Raw genomic sequence first — 17,378 nt, 5'->3', positions numbered from 1 at the left:
GAATACTATTTAAAACATGAGCTTGCTATAGGGCATTTAGTAATTCTTTCTACAAATGTTTATTATGTTCCATATGCTAGACACTGGTAGTTTGAGGGGAAGACAAAGACAAGAAAATATTTCTTTAATTTTTGTTTGTTTGTCCCTCCAGGGTGATGGAGGCAGAAGGGAATGGAATGAAAAACAGAGAAAGGAGGGGTTGGCCTTGGCAAGTAGAGGGAGGCACCTGAAATATTGGGGTTAGAAATAGGGACAGGTAGTGGTAAGTTGGAAATTTGAACAAAATACTGTATAGCTAACTTTTAAAACTAATGGTCTCTCTTTTCTATGAAACCAAAACTGGGATATGGAGAATTGGAAAGGGAAGCAGTTGATGAAACAGTTTTGATTGATGGGGCCAGTTTTGTCATGAGAAATTAATTAAAGCAAGTTCGTCACTTGGAGAATGGTCACATCTCCTGAATTATAAACTGAATTCATAATTTACTTCATTATATTTTCATCCTAGAAAGCTTCCTTCCTGTCACTTGTAGCCTTTTGAAGTCTCTAGATTTATTATGTAATCATCTCAGGAGAGGCATTTAAGATTCTGTGTAATAATTGTTTTGAACTGTAAGAATTCATAGATAAAATTTGCAGAATGCTGGCAAAAGGATAATGAGCAAAGGAAGAAATAAAGAGGAAGGAAAGGAGTAGAATTTAGTTTCAAAATATTGTTTACCTTGAATATGAAAAGCAGATAACTTTACATATTGAGGGAGTAAAGTTACATAAGTTTACAGATAACACAGTAACTCTGTTAGAGTCACTGAGACAGATGGCACGAGACATTTCATTGCATGACACCAAATTTGATATCTTAATCCCTAAACTGATGAGTCCTCCTAAATCTGAAATAATTTTGATTCTTTGTAAGAAGAGTTTTATGTACTTGTAGAGTACATTAAGAGTTTTACTGATTATTAGACTATTACTATAAAGTGGAAATGTGTATTTTATAAATGTTAAGCATTTAATATAAAATGTTAATATCCTCTGAGAGAATCCCTAACCAAAATAGCCCAAATCCTACCATAAAGGATGTGATGAATGTAGTTGTTTACATGAATCCATTTTGGATATTTGGGGAATAATTGCTTTTTCCCCCACGATGATGTAACAAAGCTATCAACATTACAAGGAATGTTACTTAAGATGATCCGTGCCACCTTTTTCTTCCTCCGTAGGCGCCTAACCAAGGAAAATGTGAAGCCTTCTGGAAGACAAATTGGGAAGTTGAGCCACAGCAATCCAACCATTTTGTTTGATTATGTATGTTTTGAGGTTAATATTATTTTAAGGGATTTTTCTTTCTGTTGCCTTTAAATCAGTGCAAGTGGAAATAGAATGATGTTAGAAAATGAAACATTGTAAGGTTATGCTAAAAACAAAATTACTACACAATATATTTAACACATTGATCTATTTTAATAGTAATATGTAACAGTGCTACTATTACAGGCAATATAATAGTTATTTTGTATATATAATGTTATTTTGTATACCACATCTTGATTTCTGGTATTACTTGATTTTAGACTTTTAGAAACATTCAAATAACATTTCATTGTGATTTATATGTAATACTATCACTGCAATATTTATTTATTTATTTATTTTTTTGAGATGAAGTCTTGCTCTATTGCCCAGGCTGGAGTGCAGTGACCCGATCTTGGCTCACCGCAACCTCTGCCTCCCGGGTTCAAGCGATTCTCCTGCCTCAGCCTCCCAAGTAGCTGGGATTACAGGCGCATGCCACTGCACTTGGCTAATTTTTTGTATTTTTAGTAGAGATGTGGTTTCACCATGTTGGCCAGGCTGGTCTTGAACTCCTGACCTCAGGTAATCCATCCACCTCGACCTCCCAAAGTGCTAGGATTATAGGCGTGAGCCACCACACCTGGCCCATATTTAGAGATATCTAAAACATATGAGAGAGACTAGACTCTTTCATTCCAAAATTCAGCTTTAGGCCTGGAATTATTTCCTTTTTAAATTAATTTTTTTAAGATGCAAGGGGTACATGTGCAGGTTTATTACATGGATGTATTGCATAATGCTGAGGTTTGGGTTTCTATTGAACTCCTCACCCAAATAGTGAGCATAGTACCCAATAGGTAGTTTTTCAAACCTTGCCCCACCCCACTTAACTTTTAGAGTCCCCAGTGTCTTTCTATCTTTATGTCCGTGTGTACCCATAGTAAAGTTTCAGGATACAAAATCAACATACAAAAATCAGTAGCATTTCTATGTACCAATAATGTTCAAGCTGAAAACCAAATCAAGAGCACAATCCCATTTACAATAGCCACAAAAAAAGTACCAAGAGATACATCTAACCAAGGAGGTGAAAGATTTCTACTAGAACTATAAAACACTGTTGAAAGAAATCATAGATGATACAAGCAAATGGAAAGACATTCCATGCTCTTGGATAGGAAGAATCAATGTAGTTAAAATGTCCATACCGCCCAAAGGAATCTACAGATTCATTGCAGTTCCAGTCAGATTACCACTGTCATTTTTTATAGAATTGGAATTATTTTCTAACTGAAAAATGTAGCCTAAGAAAATATTCTCTAAGGCAGTGATAAAATAGTAATTTCTATATAAATATGAAATATTTATATAGAAACCACTTTGTTAAATATTTATATAGGAAACCACTTTAATTATAAGCATTATTTCTTTTGAAAAATAGAAAGTGTAGCCATTACTTAGTTGGCACAGTAGAAATCCTTTGATCAGTTAATGCCTTCTATTGTTTGTTGCTGTTTTCCAGATCTTGTCACAAATACAGAAGTATGATAACTTAATAACACCTGTAGTAGATTCATTGAAATACCTCACTTCACTGAATTATGATGTCTTGGCCTGTATCCTTTCAAGTGAAGTAATATGTAGATTTCATATTTAATAGATCATATGGTAAACGTTTTATTTTCATTCTATTTTCCTTTAGTAACCATCTGAGGTTGATTCAGGTGGCTGATCTGAAGTTTGGTCAGTCAATTGTGTGTGTGTGTGTGTGTGTGTGTGTATGTGAGAGAGAGAGAGAGTGTGTGTGTGTGTGTGTGTGTGTACGTGTGTGTCTTTGTGTTGTATAAAGGGAGACATGTTAGGCTTACCAACTTTTTTTTTTTGTGTGTGTGAGACAGACTTTTGCTCTGTCTCCCAGGCTGGAATGCAGTGGCACTGTCTCGGCTCATTGCAACCTCCGCCTCCTGGGTTCAAGCGAGTCTCTTGCCTCAGCTTCCCAAGTAGCTGGGATTATAGGCGTGTGCTACCACACCTGGCTAATTTCCTTGTTTTTAGTAGAGGTGGGATTTCACTAGGTTGGCCAGGGTGATCTTGAATTCCTGACCTCAAGTGATCCACCCACCTTGGCCTCCCAAAGTGCTGGGATTACAGGCATGAGCCACTGCACCCAGTTGGCTTACCAAACATCTTGATATTGATGGAATCTGTCTTGATTGCTGAAAGATGGAAAGTAGGCTAAAGAAGAAATGTTGGTACTACAGTAAGTGTATTTTTCAATAATTAGTTTTAGCAACATCCCTGGTCTTGGAAAACTAGAAAAATAATTTGTAATGACCAACAATTTTGCCCCTATGATGTGGCATATTCATGTTTTAAGGGTCTTTATTAGAGATGTAATGACTTAGTTTTTTCTTAATGTATGAAAGATTGTATCATTGAAGCTTTAGCTAATCCAGAAAAGGAAAGAATGAAACATGATGACACAACCATCTCAAGCTGGCTTCAGAGTAAGTATTTTTATTTTTCCAAAGATGAAATTACTATCTGTGGTAACTGCCATGTTATGCATTTTATTACCGATGCTTAGAGACTTTTAGAAGCCTATTTGTTAAGAGTTGCTGAGAATATCTAGCTACTGAGTTTGTTCTGCAGAGCCCTTGGCTATGTAAGGAGGTTGATATGGTACTTATTTATTTTCCTAACTTAAGAGACCATTATTGACTGTGATAGAATTTGGGTAAGCATTACTGGGGAGGTGAAATCTCCTTCTTTTTATTTTATTTTTTTTTCGAGATGGAGTCTCACTCTGTCATCCAGGCTGGAGTGCAGTGGTGTGATCTCGACTCACTGCAGCCTCCGCCTCCCAGGTTCTAGCAATTCTCCTGCCTCAGCCTCCCGAGTAGCTGGGATTACAGGCACGCGCCACCACGCCCAGCTAATTTTTGTATTTTCGTTAGAGGCAGGGTTTCACCATGTTGGCCAGGCTGGTCTTGAACTCCTGACCTCAAGTGATCCGCCCACCTCGGCTCCCAAAGTGCTGGGATTACAGGCATGAACCACCATGCCTAGCCAAAAATCTCCTTTTTAACTAACATTATTTTATAGGAGTTGATCGTAAGGGATCTAGTCTCATTTCTTCCCATTCCATCCTGAGGTTCCAGTCATCTTAAAAGAACAAAAACTTGACTTAGTTTAACCAAAAAAACTAACCATATTTCTTTTTAATTCTTGTACCTTTGGTTTCTAGCAGCCAGTTCCTTTTCTTTCAACTTATTGTATCTGATAGCGGAATCTTGCAGTGGCTCCCCATTGTCCTTTAAAGTCCGAAATGTTTAATAAGTCATACAAGTAAGTTCTTTTGAAATCAGGTCCTTTTGCACTGTTCTAGCCTCATCTTTTCCCTGCTTCCCGATATTCTAGATTCCATTAATACTGAACTTCTTGTACTTTCCATGAACTTTTGCCCATTATTCACTTGACTTGGAATACCCTTCATGGCCCACTCCATGTTCTGTTTATTCATTAGATTTCAGCTTAGAGGTCACTTCCTCTGGAAAGCTTTTTCTGTTAATGCTCCCACCCACAAGTCTGAATTGGGCGCTCCTCTTTTATATTCCCATGGAGCCTTTTGCTCATCATAGTTATTTGTTTACTTTTCTGTATCTTCCACTAGACTCAGCTCCTTGAGGGCAGGACTTGTGTTTTGTCCAATATCATTTAGGTGCTTAGCAAATAGTTGTGGAATAGGCTGCAGAGCACTTGACTTTACTTGAATCTCCTACTCTTGTATTGGCTGGGGTCTCCTCCCTATTCATGGTATGATAAGGACCATTGGTTAAAGTTGGTCTCTTGTCTGCTTCTAGGTCTGGTAATACTTTATTTTCTTGCACCTCCACAACTAGTAGCATGTTCCAAGATAAAAAGAGATTTTTTTTTTTCTTGACTCACATTCAGGGGCTGGCATTTTGTCATTTATTCAAGTTTACTGAGTGATCTGCAAGATTTTGTTATAACTTAGTTTCACAAACTCTGGAATCAGGCTGCAAAGATTTGACTTACTGCTCTACTTTGTACTACGTGACCATGAGCAAGTTACATGACATATCTGTTCTGAATTTGCCTCATCAATAGGTTATACCAACCTAGGATAATAGTTGCAAGGATTAAATGAGATAATCATTATAAAGTGCTTGGTACAGTGCTTGACATATGTATGCTCAATAAATATTGGTTATTGTTATTATTATGAAGCTCCATTCAACAGCATCAGCAATACAATTATTGCTACCTCATTTTGTTTTAGAGGTTTAGTTGAAATGATACTTGTGCATTTTGTTTTATGAGTTGTTTTTACTCTTTTTTTATTTTATATAGGTCTGGCTAGTTTCTGTGGTGCAGTTTTTCGTAAATATCCAATTGATCTTGCTGGTCTTCTTCAGTATGTTGCCAATCAGCTAAAGGCGGGCAAAAGGTATTCATAGCAAATTATACATAATGAAATTCAATAGAGTACTTTTGGTGGTTTGGGGTTATTGAGACTCTGTTATCCCGAAAGACTACTTATTTGTTGGTTGTAGGCTCAAGTAGAATAGTTGCTCACTTATTTACATAAAATTCTTTAGTTAAATGATAACTTAATACATAAATAGACACCTTTTTTCATGAATAAATGTACTATATGACTATATATGTTAATGCACTAAAAAGATACTTTCAGTTATTTTGACTGCCTATTAGGCTTTTGAGTAAATGGCTAATATGATACATTGTATATCTTCGTATAACAAAACATACTGCACTAGGTCAGTATGCAGTAATTGACCTGTGTCACATTGAACATCTGGTAGGAACTTGTTTATCTTGAGGGTGTATATAATACCTTTAAAGCATAATTTTTGAATTTGAGTTTTAGAGATACATAAGGCTTTCATACCTTTTGGACAATGTCCTTTTTTCTTTATAAATACTGAAGTTTATTTTATTTTGGGTCAATATCAGTGCTTAGAGTTTGAATTAGTATGTATGTGTATTAAACCTCATGAGAAGTAAACTGACTAGAATCAAAGAACCTGAATTGTTTTCAGAAGCTTTCTGGTAGAAAGCAAACAAACAAAAAATTAAAAGCTACTTGGTGTTCCAAACAAGTATTACCTAAGTAATTATTGACAGATTCTTATTTTGGCTTAGGGAAAACTTAAAAAAACTTTAAACTTATGATTTTATGGGCACATCCCTTATGCTCATCTCTCTGCCATTTCTATATATTTTTATTCTTCTTTGTCTATAGGCCAGGAGAATATATATCATTTTTTAATCTATAACTCAGCTTTCTGTACTGTGAATACAGTTTTTGTGACCATCTAATTAAAACATAGTTTAAAGAAAAAATAAACTGTTTCATTGGTACTTATATACTAGTTTTCATGAGGGCTTTCTTTAAAAAAAACAAACGAAACTAAGGAAAGCAAGGCAAGTTGAGAGAACAAACATTTAATAAGAATCTTAGAAAATGGTTCTTTCGTCTATTAGCTTGTGTCTTGGGTATGTCTGACTTTATGTTTGGAAAAACATCTGTATGTTTTAGGAAAGAATGTTTTTACTTTGTTTAGATTAATTAAAGAAGATCTTAGAGGACATAAGGTATTATTTCCATTGGTAGTCCTAAACTTTGCAGATTAAAAAGCATAACTGTTGGCACATTACTGAAATGTGCTCTGGGCTGGCCACTAAATTGTCATCTTTGGCTCAGATACCACAACTTAGAACTTCTTTTTTTCCTTCCTTCCCTGCCTCGCTTCCAAGTGTATGTGACCATGCTACATCTTTGTCCCTGTTTAGTAAATGGATTATTTAGAAATGGCTCTATACCATCAAAAACATTTTGGCCATCCTGTATTGGAGGAGAAAAAATGCTATGAAGGACTTTATTGGGTCAACTGATAAAATGAAATATGAATGGTAGATTAAAGTATTGTATCAGCGTTACATGTACTAAAATTGATAACTGTGCTGTGGTTATTTAAGAGAATAGCTCTCTTAGGAAATTCAGTCTTAGAAATTTTAGGGGTAGAAGGCCATGATGTAAATAATTTTCCCTCAAATGATTAAAAAATTGAGTGTGTGACTATGTATGTAGAGAGGGGCTCCAGAGAGGGAGAGAAAATGCAAATAATCAAGCAGGAGTAAAAATGTTACCAGGTGAAGTTGAGGTAAAGGATATATGGGTGAGCTTTGTACTATTGTTATTTTTCCATCCTATCTGTAAATTTGCAATTATTTCCAAGTAAAAGTTAAAATAAACTTACGCACCAAGTATTTGTCAATATAGTTCTAGGAATGCAGTTAAAAACTGCTTCAGCCCCTTCCCCCATATTTATATACAAATAATTAAGGGTTTCTCAGTATATTAATTACAATACATTGTTACTTTTATATTTGAAGTTCTAACTATAGACTGTTTCTTTTTTCTTTTTGAATAGTTTTGACCTGCTTATATTGAAAGAAGTGGTACAAAAAATGGCAGGAATAGAAATTACAGAGGAAATGACAATGGAGCAACTAGAGGCTATGACTGGTGGAGAGCAGCTAAAAGCTGAGGTAAGAATTGCTATTTTTGTTCATCAACTTTTAAAATTCATAATGTATGCACGGTCATAGTAAAGAATCCAAACAATATGTAAGTTTATAAAACCAAATGTCAAAGCCATACATACCTTCCTTTCACAACCACCCCTGCCCCCCTTTTGAAATTGAGATACAGTAATTACTTTAACTTTTTAAAAAAGCTGAAACAAAGTATAAAAGGCAGTAAGTAATGCATCCGTAAGGAAAATAATTACCAAATAAGGCCGGGCGTGGTGGCTCACGCTTATAATCCCAACATTTTGGGAGGCTGAGGTGGGTGGATCACCTGAGGTCAGGAGTTCGAGACCAACCTGGCCAACATGGCAAAACCCTGCCTCTACTAAAAATACAAAAAATTAGCCAGGTGTAGTGGTGGGTGCCTGTAATCCCAGCTACTTGGGAGGCTGAGGCAGGAGAATTGCTTGAACCCAGGAGGCGGAGGTTGCAGTGAGCCAAGATCTCGCCATCGTACTCCATTCTGGGCAAGACAGTGAGATGCTGTCTCAAAAAATAAATAATAAATAAATAAATAAAATAATCACCAAATAATTACTATATCTTCTATGATCCTTGATATCCTCACTCCCTTAAGTCTTAGTTGCTCTGTTGAATCTGTGCCATACTGAATAATGAATAATCCTTTATGAGGGGACTGCAAGGTGGAAAATGGAAAATATGCAGAAATTTAAATTCAGTTGACATTTGTCTTTAAGCCAGTGACTGTAGTCAGTAATAGTCACTGAAATAAATTTGTGTAAGGGAAGGAATGTGGAATGTAGGAGTTTTTTATATTAAGCATTTTAACTCAACTTTTTTCTGTGTCTTTTTCAAATTAGCATGGGTTATGTACTGTACACTGGTAAATTTGTGTCTTCCCTTGTGCAGGGTGGTTATTTTGGTCAGATCAGAAACACTAAAAAATCCTCTCAGAGATTAAAGGATGCTCTATTGGACCATGATCTTGCCCTTCCTCTCTGTCTGCTTATGGCTCAGCAGAGAAATGGGGTAATCTTTCAGGAAGGTGGAGAGAAACATTTGAAACTTGTGGGAAAGCTCTATGACCAGGCAAGTTAAAGTGGCTTTTATGTTTATGTACATGTTTTTAATCCTGTTAAAGGAGGATAATGTGTTATAATTTGAAAAATGTCATTTTTGCACATCATTTGAATATGAGACATCCTAATGTGAAAGACATTCTGGAAATAGGGCCTATTTCTATGTAAATTGTGATATATAAGAGATAGCTCCAAGAGATGTTATATGTAAGGCTGTCAATTAATTAAATATTACATCATTAAATTCCTGCAACTTCAAGTTGTTTGCATTTATATCTTTCCCGATCTCTGGAAATCTCAGTCATAACAGAATAGATGCTTGCTTGCCCACTTGTGCATGCTCACTCTCTTTTCCCTTTTTTTTTTTTTTTTTTTTTTTTTGAGACAAAGCCTCACTCTGTTACCCAGGCTAGAGTGCAGTGCATGATCTCAGCTCACTGTAGCCTTGACCTCCCTGGCTCAAGTGATCAGTCTACCTCAGCCTCCCGAGTAGCTGGGGATTATAGGCATGCACCACCACACCTGGCTAATTTTTAGATTTTTTTTGTAGAGTCGGGCCTCTGCCGTGTTGCCCAGGCTGGGTTGCTGTCTCTCTTTTTCTTTGTGTTATAGTTGATGATAGTTAAACACATTTTGTGGGCTAATCTTAGGTTTTGGTACTTAATATTTATAAATATATTCTGTAAATAAAGTTTTCTTCTTTTAAGGGCAAAGGAATTGACTTCTGTTTGCCTATGGTTATTATTTTATTTGATTTAGGTAAATATATTCTACTAAAAGTGATGAACAACAGCTTGACATTTAAGAGACCTAGTTGGCTAGTAAAACCTTGGATTAGTCAACCTGTCAGGGCCTTGGCATCTTTTTTTGTAATATGGTCATGTGGTTATACTTGTAGATAGTCTCTAAAGTCCTTTTAAGTTATAAAATTTGGATTCTTAATTGTTAAAATATTCCTAAAATGACTTCTTAATCACTTTGGAAAATATGTTGATTTTGTCTTATTTTTTAAATTTAGTGTCATGATACCCTGGTGCAGTTTGGTGGGTTTTTAGCATCTAATCTGAGCACAGAAGATTATATAAAGCGAGTGCCTTCAATTGATGTACTCTGTAATGAATTTCATACACCCCATGATGCAGCATTTTTCCTGTCTAGGCCAATGTATGCCCATCATATTTCGGTAAGTACAAGTGTCTTTGCTGCCGCTCAAGAACGATCCAAATTATTTCTTAACGGTTTTATCTGTAAGTACATATCACTACAGATTTTGGGGGAAGGTCTTGGCCCTAAACTAGGATCCCTTCTTTGTTTCCAATAGGGGTACGAAGCTGTGTGGTAGAGGTATACAAAAAAGGTGATGAGAAATTTGGAGTCTAATTGATCATTTAATCAAACATCTGCTGTTAGTGTTTACATATCAACTGCTACAGTCTCCCACTTCTTTCCTAACTAACTGCTACTTGATTTAATTATCACTTTGTTAGCACTATGCAGAAATTCCTGTGTTATGTATACACTCTGAAGGGAAAAAGACAATAAGGGAGTGGTGTTAGGCTGCTTCTTCCCCTTTAGATCCTCTCAATCCAGAGAATTGTTTGCCGTCTTTGTGTAACGTCTTACTGTTGTCACACCCCATGGTAGATCAGTCTCAGCTGTGCAAGAGGGTACCTGATTTCTTGACAGACAGAGGTGGGAGAATTTCTTCATCTTAGGAATTCTGACCTGCCCTGTGCTAAGTGAACACACTAATCAGCAATATGGAATCCTAGCAAACAGGAACACCTGGTTGTCTGTGGTTGGCTGAACTTTTCCAGCTCAGAAAATGGAGCAGGTCATTCAAGCTACTTTTTCTCTCTTACTTGTGTAAAATATTACCTTTGTCTTTTAAGAGATACAAAAACCTAAACAAAGAAATGGCATTTCCCTCTCAGGCTTGGAAGAAAACAGAAAACTAAATGAAAGTGGCTGTATAGCCAAGTCAGATATAAGTCTTTTATCTGTAGGCAGCATGCCACTCTCTGGAAAAGGTGTTTCCCAGCAATCTTGTGGTTGTGCTGGATGGGCATCCAAGCTGTCCTGGGGATCCTTGCTTTTGCTTCTTGAGTGAAAGCCTCTGTTGAAGAGCCTTCGTTGAGAGAGTGAAAATGTATATTAGGTGATTGCTATGTCCCCTCTATAAACTATCAGCAGGCTCTCTTGAGGATAATTCAGCCAAACGCTGCCCAGATTTTTTTTTTTTTTTTTTTTTTTTTTTTGAGATGGAGTCTCGCTCTGTCTTCCAGGCTGGAGTGCAGTGGCGCAATCTCAGCTCACTGCAACTTCCACCTCCCGGGTTCAAGCGATACTCCTATCCCAGGCTCCCAAGTAGCTGGGATTACAGGTGCCCGCCACCACACCCAGCTAATTTTTGTATTTTTAGAAGAGATGAGATTTCACCATGTTGGCCAGGCTGGTCTCAAACTCCTGACCTCAGGTGATCCGCCTGCCTTGGCCTCCCAAAGTGCTGGCATTATAGGCATGAGCCACTGTGCCTGGCCTGCTCAGATTCTTGAGACGAGATTTTTGAACAATAGTGAGAAGTACAGCAATAATTGTGGATATCAGTTCTATTCCATAAGTCTAGTTCCCCAGGCAATTTGAAATGTAGAACTGTTATGTCTCTTCATTTGACTGAAGGTGTGAACTTGAAGTGGGAGTTAAACTGACTTTAGACAAGGACATATTCATCTTGGGTAAATACGAAGTATAGCCTTCTTTTCTGACCAAGCCTATTTTTCTAACTAGATAGTGACTATGGGGTTCCTAGCAATAGAAATCACAGATTCAGACCCAGAGGACTGGGGAGATTGGAGCTATCATGTAACCCTCTCATACCTATAAACTAATTTTTAGTTTTAATTGTTGAGGTTGTGGTCCACCTTGAGACACAGGTCTGAAAGATAGGCTTTTAACCTAGTTCATATTCTAGATCTTGCCCAGAACAGGTAATTAGGCTGTCTTTTATGCAGATAATGTCAGCCCTATTTTATCCCGTTTTGTTAGAACCTTAGCAGAAGTCATTCTGCTCATCTAGATTCATATTAGTTACCTTCAATAAGACCTGTCCTCTAAATTAAAAAACACTCTCTGTTTTCCCAACTGCTATTCCCTCAGGTTTCTGATGCAATTGGGACTCCTTTTTCGTAACTAATGTTCTTTGTAGCTTTGTCACTTACGTGGTCTCAGTGGTTGTCAGCATGCTCTCTAAAATGGGGATAACAGAGCATAAATCTTCCCACTTCTAGAACAATTGTAAAATTCTAGAACAATTGTAAAATTGAGCACTCAGGAAGGAAGGCAGGTAACTGAGCTGTAAGGAGCTGAGACTCTTTTGCCTATCACAGTGTAGAACTGGAAGCAGAACCTTTGATCATCTCGTTTTGGGTTACGTGTTTAGCACAAATAGAATGATTTAAGTGATTTTCTAACGTAAGGAAGTAACTAGTTTTAGGACTTCCTTTAGGTTCGTATGAAGGGTGATACCTAACTTAAACAAAATTTTCTGGATGAGAGCTCTTTCATCCTAAAGAGACTGAAGGATGTGAAACAATAGCAGCAACTCTGTGTTATCTTCATATATATGTGTGTGTGTGTGTGTGTGTGTGTGTGTGTGTGTGTGTGTTCATGTATAATATATATGTTCATATATATGTTATCTTCATATATATAGAATATATAGAAAAAATATATATATTTTTGTGTGTGTATATATATGTATAATATATTTGGCATACACATCTCTGCAGCCCCTCCCATTGTACTAACAATTTTTTTTCCTCATACAATTAAGAATATGGCATTCCTCTGTTTTTTCCCCCAAATTAGGATAAACCAGTCAAACGAAAGAAGCTGCAGCATCAGTTCTCACATGCTTTAAACTTCAATATACCACAGCTTTTCACAGAAAAATTTATTTGGCTTAGCAGTAGAGTAACCAGTTGGTCCTGGTTTGCCTGGGATGTTCCCAGTTTTAGCACTGAAGTCTTAAATCCTCAGAAATCCCTGAATCCCCAGCAAACCCTGACAATTGGTCACCCTACTTAGCAGTCTTAAAACAAATTTCTCATAACTTTTCTTAGTGTTGATCCAGCTTTTTTTTTTTTTTTAATTTTTATTTTTTGAGACAGTCTCCTTCTGTCATCCAGTCTGGAGTGAAGGGGCATGATCTCAGCTCACTGCAACTTCTGCCTCTGGGGTTCAAGTGATCCTCTCACCTCAGCCTCCCAAGTAGCTGGGATTACAGGCCTGCGCCACCACGCCTGGCTAATTTTTTGTAGAGATGGGGTTTTGACATGCTGGCCAGGCTGGTCTCAAACTCCTGATCTCAAGTGATCTGCCCGCCTTGGTCTCTTGATCCAGCTTTTTAATTGACAAATTTTAACAGTTGGTAGGGTCTGCATGTAGTGATACTACATTCTGTCCTAGTTGGCTATTACTAGTTCCATTCTTCCTCTTTTCTCATGTTAAGACCTTCTATTTGTTCCCTTGAATATCTCAAAAGCAGGACTGGAAACCCTACATGTTCAATCCCTGATACAGCAGCAAGAGGGAGTAGGGTGGGGGAATGAAAGAGGAGAACATGCATATACCCTGTTCACTTTACTCAACAGGTCAGATTAGATAAGAACCCTCTGAGAATCTCCTAGTTGGCACACAGTACTAAAGACTGGAATAGCTTCCAGAGATGATTTATCTTAAAATAAACGTTGTTCATAAGAAACTAGAATTTCTACAACAGTTTTGAGATTGGTCATCTTTTGATTCTTTAGAAGGGAATATAGATTTTTATGCCATGAAAGTCAAAGCTATAAATTATGTTGTGTGTGTATGTATGTATGTATTTTTACTTTTTATCTACAGTCAAAGTATGATGAACTTAAAAAATCAGAAAAGGGAAGTAAACAGCAACATAAAGTTCATAAGTACATTACATCATGTGAGATGGTGATGGCGCCTGTCCATGAAGCAGTGGTCTCCTTACATGTTTCCAAAGTCTGGGATGACATCAGCCCTCAATTCTATGCTACATTCTGGTCATTGACAATGTATGACCTTGCAGTTCCACACACCAGCTATGAACGAGAAGTCAATAAACTTAAAGTCCAGATGAAAGCAATTGATGACAATCAGGAAATGGTAGGTTTTTGTTCTAGTAGTTCAAGTGCAATAACTTTATGGTATTCAATGTTACCTATATTTTGAAATTGTTTTAGCTCTGGTTCCTTAAAACAGTGATCTTGTTGCTATATAATATTTTCTTAAATGGGGTTTAATAGTTACTTCTGAGTGGGGGGCCAGGAGTTTGGTGACTAGGTGGAGGTTATGATTAATCAAAAATTATTTGAGTGTCCTTTTCTACTGACGACTATGCTAGTAACTTAAAGTGATTCATGTGACTCTAATAGCAAGAGCAGTAGTTCTCAAGAGGAGAGTTCTTTAGGAGAAGACTATTGAGAAGCCGAGTCTTGAAATGGACAGGCCTTGAAGGTAGATTAGGTTTGGAAATATGGAAGCAGATAGGGAGGTCACCATAGGGTTCCAGCAAAGACAGGAAGTAGATTGAGGTTTAGGGAGACCACTTTTACTGATTCACTTTCATGTAGTGAATGTACTTAGTGATTCATATGAATAGTTATGATGGGGCCAGATTATGTAGGCATTGGAAGTCAGGGAGAAAAGTAGACTTGGTAAAATTGAGAGCTATTTTAGATTCCTGAGCAGGATAGTAATGTAAAAAATGGTACTTAAAAAAGATTACTCATGACAGCAGTATGAAAGATGCTTTTTGACTAGCATTAGGCTAAAGACCAGCTAGGTGGCTTTTTGGGCAGTCTATTGTGAGAGCATAGACTGATGGAGGTAGTGGCAGTGTACAAGGCTTGTAAACCAGTCTTGATATAAAGGAGAGGGAAGAGTCAAAGATGACACCATGCCTGAGACTAATAGTGTCAGTGTTGCAAATGTAGCCTGTTCTGATGGTGTATGAAGATGCCATGACAGTGTTATGAGTGTGTTGAATGGAGATAAAAGTAGCACGTTCAAGTGGACCTATATTCATGTTAAAGTAGTTATAAACTATCAGCCTTTATCTCTTTAAACTTTTCAATTAAAAGAAGAAAGGTAATGTGCATATAGTTAGAAAAGTGTCTAATTGAATTCTTTGTAGCCCCCAAATAAAAAGAAAAAAGAGAAGGAGCGCTGTACTGCCCTTCAGGACAAGCTTCTTGAAGAAGAAAAGAAACAGATGGAACATGTACAGAGAGTTCTACAGAGATTGAAACTGGAAAAGGACAACTGGCTTTTAGCAAGTAAGTTGTTGGAATTGTTAGGTTCCTGATGCTGGTAAATTACAGAAAACAAAACATTATAACTTTAGAGGTGTTAAAGTGTATTATGTTTGTATTTCAACTCAGTGTTCCCTATCCCATTCTTTGGTTATTTGTTAATGCAGAATCAACTTCATGTTCACTGGAGGAACTGATATAGTTTGCTGGTGAAGTTAATTAACTTTTAACTACATATTGGCAGCTTGTCATTCAGCTTTTCTGTATAAAACATATTTCTGGAGAAATCATAGAAAAAAAGGTCCACATAGTAAAAATGATAATCATGACCAGGCATGACATTTGGTTACAAACTATAAATAGTTTGTGGTTTATAGTATTCTCTTCACTAAAGGTAATATGTTGTCATGTTTAGTGGCTTTGAGGCACTTGGGGAAGAAGTTTACCACTTAATATATTCTTCCTTTATTTTTAGAATCTACCAAAAATGAGACCATCACAAAATTTCTACAGCTGTGTATATTTCCTCGATGTATTTTTTCAGCAATTGATGCTGTTTACTGTGCTCGTTTTGTTGAATTGGTACATCAACAGAAAACTCCAAATTTTTCCACACTTCTTTGCTATGATCGAGTAAGTTTTTATTGCAACCTTTAAAAAGTTCTCACACAAAGATAGCTAACATTATAATTTATAGAGGTATTATTGTGTGTTTAGTTAAAAAGCATGAACTCAAGAACCAAGTGTCTGAACTTGAATCCTAGCTCTACTACTTTCTAGCTGTATGATCTTTGGCAAGTTATTTAACCTCTCTGTGCCTGTTTTCTTATCTGTAAAGCATAAGTACCTGCTTCATAAGATTGTTGTGAGGATTAAATGAATCACTACACATAAAAAGTACCTGATATGTAATAGGCACTCAAGGTTAAACTATTAACTAAGTATTTGAGTTTACGTGTTGTATCATAATAGGTAGAACTCTCTTCTCCATTCTTAACCTTCACTTCTCAAAAAAAAAAAAAAAGACAAAAAAGTTTACACCTTCACACACATATAAAAGCAGGGAAGCTTTTCAGTATGGTCATATGCACATTTTGCATTTAGCTTTTTTCTTATTACTACATTTTGTGGTTTAAAAACATAATGTGGCCGGGTGCGGTGGCTCATGCCTGTAATCCCAGTACTTCGGGAGGCCGAGGCGGGTGGATCACAAGGTCAGGAGATCGAGACCATCCTGGCTAACATGGTGAAACCCCGTCTCTACTAAAAAAAAAAATACAAAAAAATTAGCCGGGTGTGGTGGTGGGTGCCTGTAGTCCCAGCTACTCAGGAGGCTGAGGCAGGAGAATGGTGTGAACCTGAGACGCGGAGCTTGCAGTGAGCCTAGATCACACCACGGCCCTCCAGCCTGGGTGACAGAGTAAGACTCAGTCTCAAAACAAAACAAAACAAAACAAAAAACATAATGTATGTTCCAGTATGTCAGCTGCATATTTTTAATTTCTATCAGCATTTCCTCTGCTTACTCTCCCCGTAAACCCAGTAATATGTATGGCTAAGTGGTTAAGAAACTATTATGTAATAAAAAAAAAACAACTTATTATGTAATAATAATGATAAATTTTTTTTTCCTTGTCACTGTAAATCAGCTTTCTTTATAAAAGTTCTTGTTTTGGGTGGTTGTTTTATGAATGCATTATTTCCCCACAAAAGCCAAAATCTCCAAAGTTCTCTGCAGTGTCATTATATAAAGGGAATATACATTTTGACTAGGCTTACCTGTTTATTATGACTTGCTGTAAGAGAATCTTCTAATATTTTTAACTGATTTTGACCTTGATTTGTTTATATTTTTTAAACATTTTTCTCCTGTAGGTTTTCTCTGACATAATTTACACAGTTGCAAGCTGTACTGAAAATGAAGCCAGTCGATACGGAAGGTTTCTTTGCTGCATGTTAGAGACTGTGACCAGGTGGCATAGTGATAGAGCCACATATGAAAAGGTATGACTAATAAAAACCCTTATATTTTACCCATGTATATAATGACCACATCCATTAATATCTAGATAGT

General features: G+C 36.7%; 1 protein-coding gene across 19 annotated transcripts in view; it reads left to right on the top strand.

The window, feature by feature from the left end:
- The window catches only part of THOC2 (THO complex subunit 2), a 132,484-nt gene that overhangs the window by 91,204 nt on the left and 23,902 nt on the right, over positions 1-17,378 (top strand). For 12 of the 19 annotated variants that reach the window (XR_007068195.1, XM_017029679.2, XM_047442274.1 and 9 more), the window contains 11 exons: positions 1,227-1,323; positions 2,822-2,915; positions 3,726-3,806; positions 5,674-5,770; positions 7,779-7,896; positions 8,809-8,988; positions 9,997-10,161; positions 13,881-14,156; positions 15,187-15,328; positions 15,780-15,937; positions 17,180-17,308. Coding sequence is in view for 18 of the 19 variants with exons in the window: in XM_017029679.2 (XP_016885168.1) it covers positions 1,227-1,323; positions 2,822-2,915; positions 3,726-3,806; positions 5,674-5,770; positions 7,779-7,896; positions 8,809-8,988; positions 9,997-10,161; positions 13,881-14,156; positions 15,187-15,328; positions 15,780-15,937; positions 17,180-17,308 (1,537 nt within the window). In the remaining variant the exon portion in view is untranslated. The remainder of the gene's footprint in view (positions 1-1,226; positions 1,324-2,821; positions 2,916-3,725; positions 3,807-5,673; positions 5,771-7,778; positions 7,897-8,808; positions 8,989-9,996; positions 10,162-13,880; positions 14,157-15,186; positions 15,329-15,779; positions 15,938-17,179; positions 17,309-17,378) is intronic. The other 7 variants (NM_001081550.2, NM_001441236.1, NM_001441235.1 and 4 more) reach the window with 1 other exon arrangement.

The sequence above is a fragment of the Homo sapiens genome, chromosome X (genome assembly GCF_000001405.40).
Source record: "Homo sapiens chromosome X, GRCh38.p14 Primary Assembly".
In the NCBI taxonomy this organism is placed as follows: domain Eukaryota; kingdom Metazoa; phylum Chordata; class Mammalia; order Primates; family Hominidae; genus Homo; species Homo sapiens.
Note: the sequence above shows the minus strand (reverse complement) of the source record. Positions and strands in the feature narration are given on the sequence as shown.